The sequence below is a fragment of the Homo sapiens genome, chromosome 3 (assembly GCF_000001405.40).
Source record: "Homo sapiens chromosome 3, GRCh38.p14 Primary Assembly".
In the NCBI taxonomy this organism is placed as follows: Eukaryota; Metazoa; Chordata; class Mammalia; order Primates; family Hominidae; genus Homo; species Homo sapiens.
In genome coordinates this window covers 42201359-42219012 of record NC_000003.12, presented here as the reverse complement: position 1 = coordinate 42219012, position 17654 = coordinate 42201359, and the positions used below count along the sequence as shown (strand labels likewise).

At 45.4% G+C, this 17654-nt stretch overlaps 1 protein-coding gene across 34 annotated transcripts in view, besides 4 other annotated features; it reads right to left on the bottom strand.

Annotated features, from left to right (window-relative positions):
* The window catches only part of TRAK1 (trafficking kinesin protein 1), a 212798-nt gene that overhangs the window by 6878 nt on the left and 188266 nt on the right, over positions 1–17654 (bottom strand). For 8 of the 34 annotated variants that reach the window (NR_146089.1, XM_017005911.2, NM_001349245.1 and 5 more), the window contains 2 exons: positions 16261–16577; positions 9091–9246 (listed from right to left, as the gene is read on the bottom strand). Coding sequence is in view for 33 of the 34 variants with exons in the window: in XM_017005911.2 (XP_016861400.1) it covers positions 9091–9246; positions 16261–16577 (473 nt within the window). In the remaining variant the exon portion in view is untranslated. The other 26 variants (XM_047447718.1, XM_017005909.2, XM_047447717.1 and 23 more) reach the window with 10 other exon arrangements.
* Positions 4331–4440: an enhancer, noted in NCBI's record as "active region_19744". NCBI's record gives its function as "activates an Ori minimal core promoter by ATAC-STARR-seq in GM12878 lymphoblastoid cells {active_cell/tissue: GM12878}" and the evidence as "EXISTENCE:reporter gene assay evidence [ECO:0000049][PMID:35858748]".
* Positions 5397–5898: an enhancer, noted in NCBI's record as "H3K4me1 hESC enhancer chr3:42254607-42255108 (GRCh37/hg19 assembly coordinates)". NCBI's record gives its function as "activates a minimal SCP1, AML or CMV promoter by ChIP-STARR-seq in primed H9 embryonic stem cells {active_cell/tissue: H9 hESC(primed)}" and the evidence as "EXISTENCE:reporter gene assay evidence [ECO:0000049][PMID:30033119]".
* Positions 12515–12564: an enhancer, noted in NCBI's record as "active region_19743". NCBI's record gives its function as "activates an Ori minimal core promoter by ATAC-STARR-seq in GM12878 lymphoblastoid cells {active_cell/tissue: GM12878}" and the evidence as "EXISTENCE:reporter gene assay evidence [ECO:0000049][PMID:35858748]".
* Positions 12805–12884: an enhancer, noted in NCBI's record as "active region_19742". NCBI's record gives its function as "activates an Ori minimal core promoter by ATAC-STARR-seq in GM12878 lymphoblastoid cells {active_cell/tissue: GM12878}" and the evidence as "EXISTENCE:reporter gene assay evidence [ECO:0000049][PMID:35858748]".

Below are 17654 nucleotides of genomic sequence, written 5' to 3'. Positions count from 1 at the left end.
GCTCCCTTTCTGCTTACACAAAAAGGGGCCTGGGGATGCTGGCTCCACTACTGTCTATTTGTGATTGTTATGGTGGGAGATGGGGACTTCAGCTGCCTCAGCAACAACGTGGCAAGAGTTCCAGAGATCAGGGCTCTCTAGGGTCCTGAGCTCCAGGATCAGGTCTGGTCTGACACACAGCAGTGTGAGCAGGACAGGTCCCCATACCCCCTAGCTGCTAGCTGCTTTCTTGACATCTCTAAGATGTCTGATTTCTAATGAAAATGGGATGGCAACAAGTTGTTCTCAATTTACTTCCTTTTAATGTTCTAACAAGTTATTGCTGAGGTGGCTGAAGACTATGGTCTGCAGCAGATTAAATCATGGAAGTGTTAGGACCATGCATGAGAAAGCTGGCAAAGGAACAAGGAACAGAGTCTATGGGAGACATCATGATTGCAGAGGTCATCCTCATTCATAACTCAAGCATCAGGAAAAAAAATAATAATAAAATAAAAAAAAAAGATGCTGCCCGAAATAGCATGCACGATGAAGTGCCGGGATGATTCTCCCACCCAACCCCACCCCACCCTCTGCCCCTGTAGCAGCTCAGCCCCCAGAGACCTCCTGGGAGAAAACTGATTCAGATTTCAGAGGCCATGAGGATTCAAAGGCCATGAAGATTCAAAAGGCTGTGAACTAGAATCTTCTAGCTCCTTATGGTATATTTTCTCTTGGATTTGACAAAAAGGAAAACAATGGAATTGGTTGCTGCCCCAAACCTACAGGTCCACACAGTTGACTATGTCTTAAAAGAAAACCAGGAACCCGATGACACAAACAAAAAAATAAATGCTGGAGACACAGATTAAAGGTAGGCAGGACAAATCCAGAGTACAAAAGTGATGGTGACTAGAGGAACAAGGCAAGATGGTTTGCCCTGATTTTTAAGGTCTGACTCGGGTCTGTGTGTCAAAGCAGGCTCCCATGGCACCTGACGTGACAGCCAGCACCACGGCCACAGGAGAAAACTCTCAGCCATGGGGAGCTCCAGGCAAAGCAGGAGGGAAGGAAAAAAAAAACACATAAAAATAGCCTTTATGAATCTTTCTCAATCAGTGAACATAATGGCTCAGGAACTCCAATAAGTAAGAAACTGCCACAAGCAAAACAAAAATGGAGTAAGCTATGAAGAGAAGGCAACCAAACAATCACGATTCTCTTCCCGCAATAAGGTCTAGAAACAAAAATAACAAAAAGCCTGGGAAGAGCATCCCAAATAACAGGCATGAGGGGTTATTTGGGAAGGAGGAGAGGGGGAAAGCAGTAAATAGAAATAAGACAACACAGTTGAAAGAGAGATAACATTTAAAAGAAATCAAACAAGGGAAGGCTGGATTTAAAATCAGAAGCATACCCCCATTTAAACATATGGCCAGAATATCAAATCAAAAGGTCACAAATGTTCACTTCCTCCTCCACCCTCTTACATATTGGATCTTCAATTGCAATAGGGAGTGTAAGATGGACATTTTAGAGACGTAGTTGCATCAGCAGAAGCAAACCCATCTTATACAAATGGGTTTTGGGGATAGGAAAAGGCTGCTAAAAATTCACAAGTCACCATTCCCCAGAAGCAATGAATAGCCGTAGAAGACCAAGGAAGATCAACAAGTTTCCAAAGTGCTAAAGCCAGAGATTTGGCCCTTCCAAAATACCACCAGGACGCCTGGACCCGTGGGCTCTCCGCATGTCACCACTGACTGCCAGGATGCTGCTGCACCTCCCTTCCTTGAGACACAACAGAGAGACAGTGAGTCACCCAAGACTGGGATCATCAGAGGCTCCTCATGCTTGCTACAGAGAAGCAACGGGCTGATTCCTAAAGCCCTGGGTGCAGGAAGAGAGCAAGTTCTAAAAAAAAAAAAAAAAAAAAGAGAGAGAGAGAGAAACATAAAACATCCTTCTTGGCAGGAAATAGGGGGGTTGGGTGAGGGCTCACTGTGAAGTCACCAAGCCCATGCCACGCACCAAAGCCCCCTTCTTTATCTAAACAGAAAGTTCTTTGCAGAAGATGGTATTATGTGTTCATCCCATGCTGCTCATTTGGGAGCTCAAAGGATAGAGTTTCTTGGATTTAAGGCTTTAATTCCCTATTTAAATTCTTATTCTTTCTCTCAACCTGAGTGGAGGGCTTCCTAGTGTTTTGAAGAGACAGGCACATATTAAATGGGTTAGAGTATTAACAACGACAAATATTTTCATCATTTGATTTAGGAATGAATTTGGATTTACCAATAAAAACCCCTAATTCTTTTTTAATTGTTCTTCCTCCCCCAGATTCTGACACTGGTACAAAATGTGATACGCTTTAAACTTAATTAATCCTTGATTATTATTCAAGATCTCCTGTGTTGATGAACTGCCCGTAGCTGTCGTGCAGATGTTTTGTTCTTAAAACACACCACATGCAAGCACACATCCTTCAGCTAGCTACAGGTGGACACATCAGAGGACTTTGCAAGAGTGAGAACCACTCTTACTTTCACTCTTACAGAGTGAGACCTCACCTGCTCTCTCTAGTTGGACTCTGGTGAGCCTTCTGCCTGGAGTAGGTATGCTTGGTAAGTGGCACTGAGTGCCCATGCTCCTCGGGGGCCCATGATGCCTGGGACTGACTGAAAAACTGGGTGGTTGGGATCCTTCTGCTGCAGCCAGTGAGGAGGGAGCCCTGACACGGCCCCTACTCCCTGGATGCCCCTCAGACTGCACTATATAGAGCAGGGTGGCTGCTGCTCGGGCCTCCCAGGGAAAATACGTAGGAAGCCCACTGCTTCCCATGGCCCAGTGCTTTCACAGTGAGGAGAAGGGGACACAGAAGAGGCTGGGACACTCCGGTGGGGCCCAGAGGTTCCACAGGGATTTGCAGGATGATTGGAACTCTGCCCGTCTGGCCGCCCATAATACAATTTGTACACACCTGCTCATGCATTTTCTTCCCTTCTAATGGCGTTTTCCTTCCCGCATCCCTGGGAAGTGCTGGGGACAACAGAAGCTTTCTTCTCTCTAAAGGCCATCATAGAACCTAGTCCTTAAAAGAACCCTCACATGAGCCCAGAGACATTGGAAAATGCAACCGTACTTGGCATGTTGCTATGGGGAAATTGAGGGTGCAATATACACCCAGATACAGCTGCTTCCAAGGAAGCCTCTGAGAACGGAGAAACACTGGCCATGCCACACACCCAAGCTATTTTAAAAACTCACATAAATAACTTCTATAAATGTAAATTTACAAAAGCATCTCAAAATCTTGGAAAAGGGACTCCACCTTTGGGATGCACTGAGGGCCTTCCATGTTCTTTTTGCCACTCTTGGGAAGTGGCCGACTTGTGTAAAATAAACCCTATGACCCTGACCTTTCTTTCCTTGACTTAAGCATGTAGTGGGATGCTGCTGTCACATGACTTGGATCTGCTTTGCAAGTTCTATAAACTCCTCAACCAGTACACACACACACACACACACACACCCCAACAGTGGCACCCACAGGCCAGCCTGTTCAATCCAAGTAAAAACAAATCTATTGAAAATAAAAGCCATTGTCCATCCAGCTTAAGGGTGTGTCTTGGACTATCCCCTAGGAATATCAGTATATTTTAGTTGTTTAATGCCCAGCTTCTAATGACTTTGTTGCCTTTTGCTTGAGGGGTGGAAAGGGGAGAGGAAGATGTGTCTTTGCCTGTCAGCTGCATGAGAAACAGTTCCCTTTCCATTAAACAGATAGGGAAGAAGCAATGCTTTATCTCTTCCTAAAAGACTAAAATATCAGGGCATGGAAGATGCTCTAAAGACTTTCCTGTCTCTTCATTATGTAACTCTGCCCATGATATTTTCAGGGGGAAAAAAAGTTCTATGATGAGTTCACGTGGGAAAAGCTGCATAAATAGTTTGCCCTACGAGTCATCATTAATACAAGTACTATGTTAGGGATTCATGTGGCTTTAACAAGTGTTTTCTCTGGAGGTGAGGAGTCGGGGAATCAAGAGCAGTTTCAGATGCAACAGTGCAACTTTCTTGTTTTAAAAAATACAAAAGTGATTTTAAACTGTAATATGTTGTACAAGATAACACTTTTAAAGGCCTTAGTTCTGGGCTTCACAGAGGCTTGGTATTTATTTTTTTCTCTGCTTAAGCATTTCTTCAACAGAGCTCTCGACTGCCCCTGCAGCTCCGTAGAGGTCCCTGAGCTCCTCGGTGATCAGACATCTGGCCAGCAGGAACCTGGGAGGTTTCTATCACAGAGATTTCGAACCACACATCACAAGATCTTTTTCTGGTTTCTGCACAACTTATTTTTGGTTTCTGCAAAATTAAAAGTCGACTCTTCTTCCCACTACACCAAGTTGCCTACCCTGTTTCATCTGAAAAGTATGTGATTTAAGAGATAAACAATTTCACAGCATTGTGCAGAGAGGGTCAGAAATTCTCTCAAGTGCCCCTGGGGTATCTTCTAGAGAGAGGGGGATTTTTAGAATGCTATTAAAACGTCCAAAGGGCAAATGCAGAAATCCCTTTGTAGTCTTCAGACACCAACAAAGCTGGTCCCTATACCCTCTGTCCTCTTGTCCTTCCTTCTGTGGCAGACACCAACAGGTGAAGGGAGCTGGCCTGGCTGAGCTGCATCAAGACCTTTCCCCACTAGTGCGTTCAAGGCCAGCACAAGAGAGCACTTCACCTGTGCTTCACTAGGCAGTGTGGTTGCACAGCTCCTCCTCTCAACACAGGGTGCTCCCTCAAGGGCCCTCCACATTAGAAGGGTGTCAGGTTCAGACACCTCCTCAGCAACCCACGTGCCTCTAGGAGCACCAGGGGGCCCTCTGTAGTGTTCAGAGGTGAGGATACCAGAGAGAAAATGCTCAACAAGTGGGCTTTGTTCTGGATATTTTAAGCAGGGTTGACTCTATGCTGTTTGTTTTGAAGGAGTCAATTCTTTCATTCTTCATTCATTTTTCCACTTGCAGGTGGCAGTTGGCCTGTTTTACTCTGGCTTAATATATATTCTGACGGCAGAGCACAGGGCTTTCCTTAGCATCTCCTAATACAGGTGGGTGTGAGCCAACTATCCACTCTGTCCATAACAACAAAACTCCCTCATAACTGCCATAAAACCAGGCTGAATCGAAGTGTTCCCAACAGCATGGGAACTCACATCAACTCTCTCAGTGTAGACAATGGGAAGGAACTTGCCTGCACCCAAGGGTCTGTGAATCGAGCATACCAGACTTTTCCTTCCAGACCCATCAAGCCCCCAAACCAACTTCTCACAAGCCTGTCTGAACCCCAGTTCTGTGGTCTGTGGTGTACTGAAGAGGGGACAGGATACAAGCTGGCTGAGCTTTGCTCTAGCTGCCCCGCCCGGGCAAAGCTGCAGGAACACCCAGCTGGCCTGACTCCGCCTGGCTCCTTCTCACCACAAGCCCTTCTCTGCCCTTTCCTCACTCAGTCACTGCTCCTGACCTTGGGCCTATGTATCAAACAAGGAGGCAACGAAAGAAGCTGATTCCTGGCTTTCGCCTTGGTGGCCCAGTTGCTGGAGATTTAGGGAATTTTTTAAGGGCAATTTTAGCCAAGTGTGTTTTTTGTCTTCCATTCTGACTTTAAGATCTCAGCTCTAGGCCAGATGTGGTGGCTCACACCAGGAATCCCAGCACTTTGGGAGGTCGAGGCGGTCAGATCACTTGAAGCCAGGAATTCGAGACCAGCCTGGTTAACAGGGTGAAAGCCTGTCTCTACAAAAATACAAAAAATTAGCTGGAATGGTGACGTGTGCCTATAGTCCCAGCTACTTGGGAGGCTGAGGCAGGAAAAGCACTTGAACCGGGAGGTGGAAGTTGCAGTGAGCCGAGATTGCACCACTGCCCTCCAGCCTAGGCAACAGAGCAAGACTCCGTCTCAAAAAAAAAAAAAAAAAAAAAATCTCAGCTCCAATTAGGACATGGTTCTACTGCAGGGCCACTGCCAGGTAAGATGTCAAGATGCCATGATTCGTGTAAGTTTTTGAGGATATCTCCCCTCAATATGAACCAGTCTTGATGAGTAAAAGCATTAAAATAAACTGACTGTCAATTTTCTCTATCCATGTGGCTTGAATCCTACTTCTTTCTCACCTTTAAGGATCAAAGCATTCAAGATAATTCAACTGAACTGCCCATCCACTAGCCAACTACCAATTTAACTGTGTGACTTTAACTCTTAATCCTTTGCCACATGCAGGCTCTTCCCCACACAAATGCCTAAAATACAGAGTACTGACAGAAAAAGATGATAACTAGTTCTGATAAAGTATACTTTCTATATAAATTAAAACATAAAACATATCACTGAAATAAAGTAAAACTATAATCTAAAACTTTTTAAACAATCCATTTTAATCATCTAAATTATTTACAATACAATAACATGGATTCATCCTTTTTAAGACATGGGATTGTAAAAATCAACAAGTGAATGATGCTTCAAATAATACATTTAAATACATTAATCAAATTTTTTCAGTGCTTAAAACTTTTTCTCCATGGGACAGCAGGCTCTGGACAAAAGTGCCTAGCATACAAGTTTTCCCAATTTCCTTCTATCATACCAGCTGCACATAAAAAGGTTCATCACCTCCTGTCTCCAAAGTGTCTCCCTACTGAGTGTTCCCAGGCAGACAATAGTTCCTGGGATAGTGCTGTTTGGTAACAGAAAAGCCCAAGCGTAGAGGACGGATTAAAAGGCAGGGACCAGACCACCATGGATACAAATCCCAAGACAGAGGATGCCCCATGCCTTCCCCATGAAGCTTATCTGTCTGCCTGTGTCTCCATGATTGCAGGCATAGAGCTACTTGGGACCTCCAGGATGATTTACTTAGCGATATGCTTTTTACATTCTAAGAATCAAAATGGTCCTGTAATTCCCAATAGAGAAAATAGAGCCAATTCATTGTTCTCCCCTCTCCCCTCTGAAGCCAGTTTTTAAAGATGAGCCTTACCCAGAAAATAAGCCCCAAAGAACTCTCATCTAAATGATCAGACCCTTCCTAAATTACCTTTGGCAACCTAGGTAATTCTTTTTTATTACACACCTCCAACCTGACCCTTTCTACAGTTTCAACTATAAATGTTCATGCCCCTCGTCAAATAACGTTGCTAGGATGAATTTGCCACAGGTTTGAGTACAGAGAGAACAAGCAAGAAAAATGTCAGTGTTTATTTTAAGGAGAGTGGCCAGGATGTCAGTCCTCATAATTGGTCCCTTCTCTCTCTCTATCCTCCAAGGTAAGTTCTTTGTTGACTTGATAAGCTTTAGTCCTTCTGTACAACTTCTAGAAGATGCACTTAATGGTGCTTCTTTGCACTTCCAGAACTCACCTTCTATTCTACCTGTAAGGCTGTAGGGGAGCATCCCAATCAACATAAGGCCTACCCCTTTAGCCACGAAAATCAGCCAGGCATCATGTTTCTGCACCACCACCTGCCTTCCTGACGGACACTGGTGCTGATGACAAAAATGGGACAGTACCGCAGCTGGTTTCTCTTTTTCGAGTGTGTAGATAACAAATAAAAAACATTTTCATTCCCTCACAAGCTTAATCTAGTAATATAACTGCCTAAAAAAAATCAAACCATAAATAAACCTATGTGCTAAACAAATCACATGACTTGATGACTTCTCTAAAATTAATGTCAAGGAAAAAAGGAAAAGTTGATCCCAAGTAAAATCCCTTGACCACAGCTGTCTGAAATTAGCCAGGGGAATGGGAGACACCACCAAGAACCTCAGCTCTTTCCTGCCCTGTATTTCAAGGGGAGTGTTGTGGCCTTCACAAATGAAAATTATGAATCACAAAGATAAACGTCCTCACTTCTAACCTGGTGAATCCTCAGGAATGTCATGAGGATGACAACACAGGGTTAATTCATTTTTTCTCAGTCTCCCCCCTGACTCCACAAAAGCTTTGCCTTCCCAACACAAGGGGCTGGGAGGTCCAGTCTAGACAGAGCATGCTGTTGGGGTAAACAGTAACCATGTGATCCCATGATTCCCAGAGCTCTGAGCACAAAGCTTTTCATCCCAGTGGCAACTGGAATGTGGGTAATTCTGTAAACTCATGGCCACACCTTTAATGCTTGGGGACAGTGGGTGGAGTCAGCCAGAGCTCTTTTCCAACTTCATCTAGGGTCTTCTCTCTGGAAAAGCTTAGTGACGTTCTCCGAAGGTTTATTTGGTTAAGGAGTATTGCTAAAACACTTTTTAAAAATCCACTTTGAACACATGTGTAAGCTGAAAAGAAAATGACATATATACCTCCATTGAAGCTGGGAAAGTGAAAAGGCTGATGAAATGTCTGAAATCCTGAGCCTTTCCTGGTTCTATTTTAATACAGCGTACAGGTAACAGATGATCTCATTTACCTTCTGAATGACCCAGCACTCAATTTCCCTAAAACTGCTCAGCTCCACTTGGAAATCACCAGGGGACTTGAGAATCTTCCCCTTAGACTCAGGGAGACACCCAGACCAGGAAGAAGGGCACTGATGTTTTCAGGGACCCAAAAGCCCACTTTTTTTTTTTTTTTTTTTTTTAGCAGCCTTTCCTGCTCCCACTTTAAAGATCCCTGATGGGCCATGCACCTCCAAGATGGGCAGGGGAGCTACACCCATTGTTACAAATAGGAGGCATCAGACTCTGTATTTAAAAACAGAACTGTGCAATGAGAATGCTTTAATCATCACCCACACAGACGAGCGGAAGCTACAGACAGAGAACCACTACGGATGGTGCCTGGAACAGAGGTGAGAATGGCCCAAAACTCTGCCTCCGGGAAAGGTGCCAAGTTTACAGGACTTATCGTGGTGCCCTCACCAGACCCCTCCTCCTCCTCCTCCTCCTCCTCCTCCTCCGTGGCCGCTGGCGGCTCCTGCATCTCCTCTGGGGAAGCCTGAGGCCGGCTCGGGTAACTTCTGCTGCCTGAGACAGTCACACGTGCTTGGGACCTCTCACCTGAGGTCTCTGGGTGCTGAACTGGAGTGGAGGTAGCTAGGCGTGGGAGAGAAATGTGGTCACCTGTGTCATCTTCTTCAAAGTCGTTAAGGCAGTACACTTCGTCCAGGTCAACATCCAGCGTCCGGAAGCCCTTGGTGACCACACCGGGCCGGGGGTCCAGGATGCCCCCAAGGTGAGGTTGGGCCAACTGCTGCCAGTGGTGAAGTGTGGCGGAACCTTGCAGGAGAAAGGGAAGGGAAGAAGGGGGACAAGGAGAAGAGAGGGTTAGGATGGAAGTCCAAGACAATGGCTGTTTACCACCCTCAAAGTGCTTAGCGTGAACCCCAGCAGGGTCTGGGCCTCCAGGTGGACTGCAGCGGGAACTTCAGTGGAGCCGCCTTAGCCCTTCCTGCCATGAAACAGAAGCCAAACCCTACCATGCTCAGAAGGAATAGCAAGTTAAGAAATCAACCATTTTTTTTTTAAAGTAAAATCCACACCATAGTATGTGCAAAAGAGGTTTGGGGCAAGGTCTTTATTTTAATCAACTGATGTCAACCCCAGAACTCAACATCTTCTCATTTTACAAAATGGAAGGGGGAAAATGGCAAGATAAGCACAAAAGCGGGGCCACATGTACGTATTCTATGCCAAATACACACTCCTGGGAACACGGAAGACATAAGCTCAGGCAGAATAAGATCATGTCAAACCAAGCCCACGACCAACAGCAAGAGAAAAGCAAAAAGAAATGAAAGCAGTACACAGAGATGTGTGGCAGATGTGGCCATCACCTCCTTTACTTAGGTTTTCTGTATTTTGCCAGCAACTTTGAGAGGCTGCCGGGTTAGGGAGAAGGAATTGGGTTAAAGAGGTGTGATTTAAGAACATAGTAAGTCCACACAGAGGTCTAAAGCAGGGGAGCCCATCTTCTCGATGACACCAAACCCCAGGACTCACATGACATCATGCAAGGTCTGTAATAACACTGGAGTGTGTCCCTGAAGACCTCAAGGTGTCACAAGTGTTCTACAAAGAGAAGTGTTCCTAGGCCAAGCATGCTCAGGAAACTTGAGTTAAGTGTTTTTACTGAGGGGCATCACAGAACCTTTAGTATGCTACGGTGTTCTTGCCAACTTACTTGACAGAGCAACCCATTTTACCCTTGGAACACTTATTAACACCTCACATGACACCATGCTAGTGCATGGCCCGTGAGGCTGGCAGGGCTAGCCCCATTCTACAGATTAAGAAGGCACCCAAATATGCATGGCCACACAAATAAATATTCCATGCTCAAAGGAGAGACTTCTGAAGAGGTTCTCGGGCACCGAAAGGCAGGAGGCTTCCTGCACAAATGGATGCTCGGGCAGTCACCACTGGTTTACCAAGGGTATACTTTCTGGGTAGGCAAGAAGCCCTCCAGGATACCAGGTTGCCCTGGGGAGCGAAGAAAAGGGAGTCAAAGATGCCAGGAGTCGGCAGCTCAGGAAGTCAAGACAAAAGAGAAGGGAACACAGGCAGGCCGAGGTGGGAGGCGGTGGGGTGAGGGAGAGGCCGCATGGTGTGCGCAGAGTCTGCCATTTCCAAACACCCCTTGGAAATAACTTCTCATGTGTCGATCTCAGCCAGGGAGGCTTGAAAGGGATTTATAAATGAACAATTTCAAATCCACTCAAAAGGAAAAAAAAGGTGCACACTGCCAATACATGTTTAAAGAGTTCCCAGACACCCACATCAAGGCTTATCCCAGTTTTAAGGGTTCACGGGTACAATAGCAACATACTTAATTTGGATCTATTAAATATAAATAGAAAATATTCTAAATTCAAGAAAAAAAGAAATAAGAATGACTATAACGAAAGAGGGTATCACATATCCGTTCTCTCACTAGGTGCTAAGATGCATCTAGAGCGGTGTTCTCAACTAGGGACAATTTTGCGCCCCGTACCCCACTCCCCCAGGGACATTTGGTAATGTCTGGAGACACGTTTGGTTGTCACAGCTGTGGACGAACGGCATCTGGTGCTAATGGCATCTAGGGGGTAAAAGCCAGAGATGCTGCCAAACATCCCACAATGTACAGGACAGCCCCCACAACAAAGAACAAACTGGTCCCAAATGTCAGCAGGGCTGGGATTGAGAAGCCTTTCTCTAGAGCTGTGGTTCTTAACTCTCAGATGTTTCGAGAATCTGAAGGAAGCTGTGGACCCACTTCCTAAAGGAAGTGTGCATGCTAGCAACACTGTGCAAACAACGCCGGGGCTTCGCAGACCTGCAGAGACCAGTTCGTGGGCTCCCGAGTCCCAGATGCCACAGCATCACTGTGATTTTTTAAATTAAGCTTCCCTATATTGAGGCAGGCCTGCATCGCAGTTTGTTTTACATGTATTATATCAGCTCACTCCTTGAAACCATCCTAGGAACTGAGTATGATTATATACTTTACAGATAGGGGAATGGTGGCTGCCTGAAGTTAGATAACTTTCCAAAGCCACTTAATTAGTGGTGGCATAGCCGGGGTTCAGAACTAACCCATTTGATGGGTTCACTGCCCACCCATCAAAACCCACAGGTCTGAGAACAAGAAGGACATCAGTGTCCCAGCTGCACAAATGGTCAGCAGCAGAATTTCCAGATGGGTGTCCAGGGCCTGCCAGGAGATATTCCTGCTGATAGGAGTTCTCTGCTGTCCCTGCGGACTCCCATTCACACTACCTAATGGGCCCCAGTACAAATGCTCACTGGCTGTGCAGGCACATTCCTGATAACAAAATAGCACCACGAGAAGTCTTAAAGTAGCCACTGTACTGCCATGTTCAGTTTGGGACTGTACACTGGAGTCTGAGAAGGATGATGAGAAAACCCCATGTACAATATGGCCACGTCACCTCTACTTTTGGAAGGGAAAAGGGGGGTATGCCAATAGACTCTGGGAAGTGAAGAACCCTGGTAAGGAAATGCCAACCTCCTCATCCTTCTGAAGGGGGTCTGAGATGTTTACAATTCACTGGGAAAGAACCCAGGGAGGCTGGAGGTCTGGGCCCTGACAAGAGTCTCATAGGCCTTTCTCCTCCAACTGTTCAACAGGCTGCCCCATCACTCCCTCTCCTCACCCGCTCCCAAGGATGGGCTGAAGAGAAAGAAATGAGGCTACAAAGGGTCTGCTGTTTGGAGTTAAGGATGCCACAGAAATGCATGGAATTACTTGCATTCTCTGACACTCCACAGCCAAGGAAATTTAGTGAAATTACAACTAAAACATTATGTGAAAAGACGCATCATGCTCAGATTTTTATCCCATGCCTTGGGATGTAAGAACACCCATGTAAGAACAGCCAACTTTTACTGGGCTTTTACTAAGCGCCAGACACTTTTCTGAGGTCTACATTTATAATTCACTTAATCTTCACGTTATCCCTGCTGTCTGCATTCTGCAGATGAGGAAACTTGAGTACGGGAAGGGAAAGTAACTTGCTAGAGGCTACAGAGCTGGCAAGTGGCTTGACTGATCTGGGACTGAAACCAAGGCTGGCTCCAGTGTCCATTCTCTTAACTCTCAGCAGTGACAGGCCTTACACATGAGAGCCTCCGAAACCTAGTCAATAACACAACTGAATGGCTTTCTAGATTCTCATGTGGGTGCTTTCTCAAACCTGACTGTGCTATTTCAGTTATGTCATGCTATGGGGCTCATGGACTATCTCCACTTCTGGCTGGTTCCAAAGTCCCAGCGGGGTTTGCCAAACCCATCAACTGGGCAGAACACCTCATGCTTCACCTCCCTGCTGCTGCCTAAACCATCATGTGGGAATTCTACCAATCCCCTGGCTGCCTGGAGTCCTTCCTTTGACATAAGAAGGTATAAGAATTAAAAAATAAATATGAATTGCATCTTATTCAGAGCCCAAGTTACCTCTTTCTTTCCATTTCTCCAGCTCATTCCCCAGCCTGGCTTCCTTTACTTGCCAAACACTGTAATATGAGCTACCTCCCATTACCAACTCAAGACCTGCTCACTCCTCCCACCCACATTAAAACCAGGCAGGAATTAGGCAAACAGGGCAAGGAAAGAGAGGAAACTTCATGTTCCTGGTTGGCCCCAAGATAAAGTTCTATGGGAAAAGGGCACGGACAGTGGGGAAAACATGACTATGGTCATTGCGTCCTTCCCCCTCTGCTTTCCTTCCATACCCCAGTGTTCCAGCTAAAACATTTTCAAGTCATCAAAGGAGAGGAAACCCCAAAATCCACTGATGTCAGAGGAGCATCAGGGCTTAGATACTAGAATGAAACCTGCTGGATAATGTACAGCTTTGAAGTGTATCCTTTCCCTTATTTACATATTATTTATTTGGAAATGCTACCTTGGTTATGATTAAGCAGAAAGGAAGTGCAAATTACAGGAAAAAAATACTGCCCGCCTTGGTCTTTTTAACACAGATATCTTTCTAGTTTGAATGGTTTGTTTGTTCTTCACCTGCTTAAAACTGGTAAGGTAAGATGAAGAGACAAGAAAGTGCTAGCACTCTTAAACACTTAGCTTTTTGGCTTTCACAATAAGCAGATGGCAAGATTAATTCAACAGGTAACGGAGCCAGATGGAAAACACTGATTGGCTATCTGCTATGATCTCAGCCAACAGTCTCTAGGGACCTCACCCCAGGTACATTTACCTGGGCTGCTGGTGATTATGGGAATCTTACTAGCTTCTCAGTGGGCCAATAGAAAAAGATAATTTAAGAACATGACCCTAGTGCTGGTCCAGATCTCAATACTAGTAACTCAGCCCTACAGACCTGGATTGGAGCAAGCTTGGGAAGCCAACATTTTAATAAGCACCTATTAGATGCCAGGTACAATATAAAATACTTCACATTTACTCCTCACCACAGTCTGGTCTGATGGCTATCAGCCTATTTCACAACCACAACTAAATAGGAAACAGGGCTCAAAAAGTGGGGTGATTTATCTAATGTCACAGTCAGAGCTGTACTGAACCTAGCCCAGGCTGACTTCTGTGTCAGCATCCCATCTTATCATATTAAACATGGTAACACAAAAAATAACTGTGGAGGGGAGGGAAAAAAGAAAATACTGGTTGTAACAGCTAAGAAGTCTGAGCCAGGTGTGGTGACTCATGCCTGTAATCCTAACACTTTGGGAGGCTGAGGTGGAAGGGTAACTTGAGGGCAATGGTTCAAGACCGGCCTAGGCAACATAGTAAGACCCTGTCTCTACAAATAAATAAATTAGCCAGGTGTGGTGGTGCAGTCCTGTAGTCCTAGCTACTTGGGAAGCTGAGGCGGGAGGATTGCTTGAGCCCAGGAATTCAGGCATGTAGTGAGCTATGATCACACTACTGTACTGCAGCCTGGGTGACACAGCGAGACCCTGTTTCAAAAACTAAATACATAAATAAACAGCTAAGAAGTCAGAGAACTACAAAATGGAATCAAAAGAATCTGTATCATGAGGTTGTGTTATAGGCCACTGTGATAAGACAAATAACTTTTTAATTGTATTGTTTTAGCCTCCTGGGTAGCAGAGCACTATAGATGAAATTCACCTTGCTAATCTAACAGGATTTCCTATTATCCTATTAACTAATCACAAAAATACTGCCAAGTCACAAAATTAAAAGACATAAAGATGAACTGGCTAAAACATGTGCTTTGAAAATAAATTCAAAAACATATTCTTAGATGATCTAATGAAACACAGAGTCAAATATAGAAAGCAGACAAGACAGAGATGATAAATTCCAATGATCTTTGAGTGACAAAGGAGAAAAAAGAAAAGTAAGGCAGAAAGTAAAATTGCAGAAATGAAAGATTTTATTGAAGAACACACACAATGTGGATCAGAAAACAATCACCAAGCTTACAACTAAATAAACAATTAAAAAAGAGTAAGCTATACCTTTTCTGAACTCTAAGAAAGACCCCAATTATACAATTTTAAAATAATAATAAAAACAAACTAGCCCACCCTCTTCCTTTGGAGACTGTGGAACCCAGTCATGTCTTGGGTCTTTAACAAGCACAACCTTACCTTATAGCATGCAGTCTCACAGGGGCAATATTGCTCCCAAGAAGCAAAAACAGGTTCTTTTGAGGTAAACATAATTGGATTCTTTTTAATTTTAATACCACAGATGTATTGCTTATGTATTGTTTATGTATATACATATAGTACATAAACAATATATATGTGGTATTAAAATGTCTTTGGGGGGTGATTAGGAAAAAACGTCTAAGAAGGCTCCTTAGAGGGGACAATAATTTTTTTAAAGTTGGGAAAGTTCTGCCTTACAGAAGTTCTGATTTGGCTTTGCATCGTAAGTGTAACACAGAGTTTTAAAACACCTTCTCAAACGTATATGGCTTTCCAAACTAAAGGAGTAAAAAATGAAAAATATAAGCACTTGGTGGCTCTTGGCAGAGTAGCAGCAGGTAGAGGGAAAACATTTTATAAGTGCCTAAATTAAAAAAAAAAAAAAAAAAAAAGAGGCAGGAGGGCAAGAGGGAGAGAGGGAAGGAGGAAGTTTTTCCCATGAGTTTAATCATCTGAGATGCCCCTGATACTAACACATGAACTGACCCTGAAAAAGGGTGGCTTACGGAGGTACAAAACTCACTTGTCTCCACAGCCACCCCTTCCTGGACTCCAAATTGTAGACTCTAGGAGCCGCGCTCAGAACATACTGCATCTGCCAAAAGCCACAACCTTGCTATATGAAGTTCAAATCAGAACACATAAGCCCACAAATCACATTCAGGTGGTTATGGGGAAAAAAAAATCCCCATTTAATAGAGTTTGCTTGGAACCTCTCCCCGACACCAAAACTGCAGAAAAGCTAAAGCATTAATTTTCTGCATTCCTCACACCCACAGGCAAAACCTAATTAATTTTTGAATCAGTTAGCAGTGCCTCTACCGCCACAAAAGTTTTTATTTCTAAGGTTCTAAAGGCAAAGGAAAGAACTAGAAGACCACAGTGCACATGCTTGTCTTTCCTCGGCGAGTTTCATGGCCTATGTGTGCATTGTCACACCTGCCAGCCAGAGGGGAGGGACGGAGGCCTAGGCTGAGCACCACCCTCAGAGGAACTCAAACCAGCAGCGCGGGTGGCTGTCGCGGAAGAAAAAGGAGTAGGCGTGACAGAGGTGCCCCGCCTTCCGCAGGTGGATCAGGGACCAAAGGGAGTCCCCCAGGAGGACAGAGAGGGGCCGAGGCCCCGCGTGATCACCTTCCAGCGGCTTCACGATCTGGAGCTTCTCAGGCAGGTAGGAGCGGCTGCTGAAGGACATGCCAGAGAAGCCGGTGAACTCGGAGAAGCGGGAGTGCGTGCCCAGGGACATGATGCTCTCAGTGGGTGTGAGGGAGCCGCTGCGCAGCTCGCCCTTCTCCGCCAGCTCCTGGAGCTTCCTCTCTTGCTCCTCCTCAAAGAACCTCCTCTCCGAGAGGTAGTTCTCCCGGCGCAGGGACAGCCGCCTCAGCGCCGTCTCCAGGTCGTGGGAGCCTGGGGTGCCCGGCGTCCCCGGCTTCTTACTCCGCTCATCGTTTCTGGAAGAAGAAAGGGGTGTGAGGGTGGAATGCCAGCAGGGCTCCAAGGCCACAGAGGCCCGACTGCTCAATGCACAGCGGTGGACGTTCCCTGGGGCTACAGGATTCTCCATGGGAACCAAGGCAAGCAGTTGACATTTAGGCAACAGGGGGAAATAAATTCGTGTCCAGAACCACTCCCGCCAGGGGTCTTTTTTAGTGGGGTTGAGGTGGGGTGAGGACTAAGGTGGGATGAATATCTGCACACAGACTAAGTAAATTCAGTCCCTGTAAACATCTCCCTGAAGAACCTTTAGGAAGAAACCTGTAGGTTGCTGTTCCTGGCTACCAGAAGGATAATGGGGTTAAGGCATGTTTCTCTCTTCTCTTGAAGGAAAAGAGCCCAGACCCCAACTCTGAACAAAACCTGCTCTGATCAAGGAGCTTCCTGTCTGTCTGTTCCAACTGGTCCGGAAGAATCAATTTTATTAAGTCAGAGGAAAAGGATGCACAAAGTAGACAATGGTGTGTGTGTGTGTGTGTGTGTGTGTGTGTGTGTGTGTGTGTGTGTGTCCGTCTGTCCGTCCGTCCGTCCGTCCGTCCAGGTTCTGCAGGGCTTCAGGACAAAGAGGAACTGACCATTCCTGAGGAAAGCCCAGTCCTGGGCACCTTGGCCCCCCTGCACCCCACCCTCTGAACCTTGTGACCACATTCTGGTCACAAGACAGACAGCCTGAGTCCTCCTCAGCCTTTCCAACATCAAGCTACAAAACGGTCACAAAACAAATGTCTATTCTGTAGCCTTACCGTGAAGATTAACAAAAAAAAAAATATTCATTAATCCTTCCCCCAAGCATTTCACAGGAAAGCAGACTTTCTGGTATCATCTTGTTATACATCTTTAAGCTGATTAAAATATCATATCAAGGATAGGCATAGGCTCAAGTGGGTAAGCAGAACAGATTTGGAGAACTGTAAGGTCCGCTTTTTTTTTTTGAGACAGAGTCTCACTCTGTCACCCAGACAGGAGTGCAGTGGTGCAATTATCAGCTTGCTGCAACCTCCACCTCCCGGGTTCAAGCGATTCTCCTGCCTCAG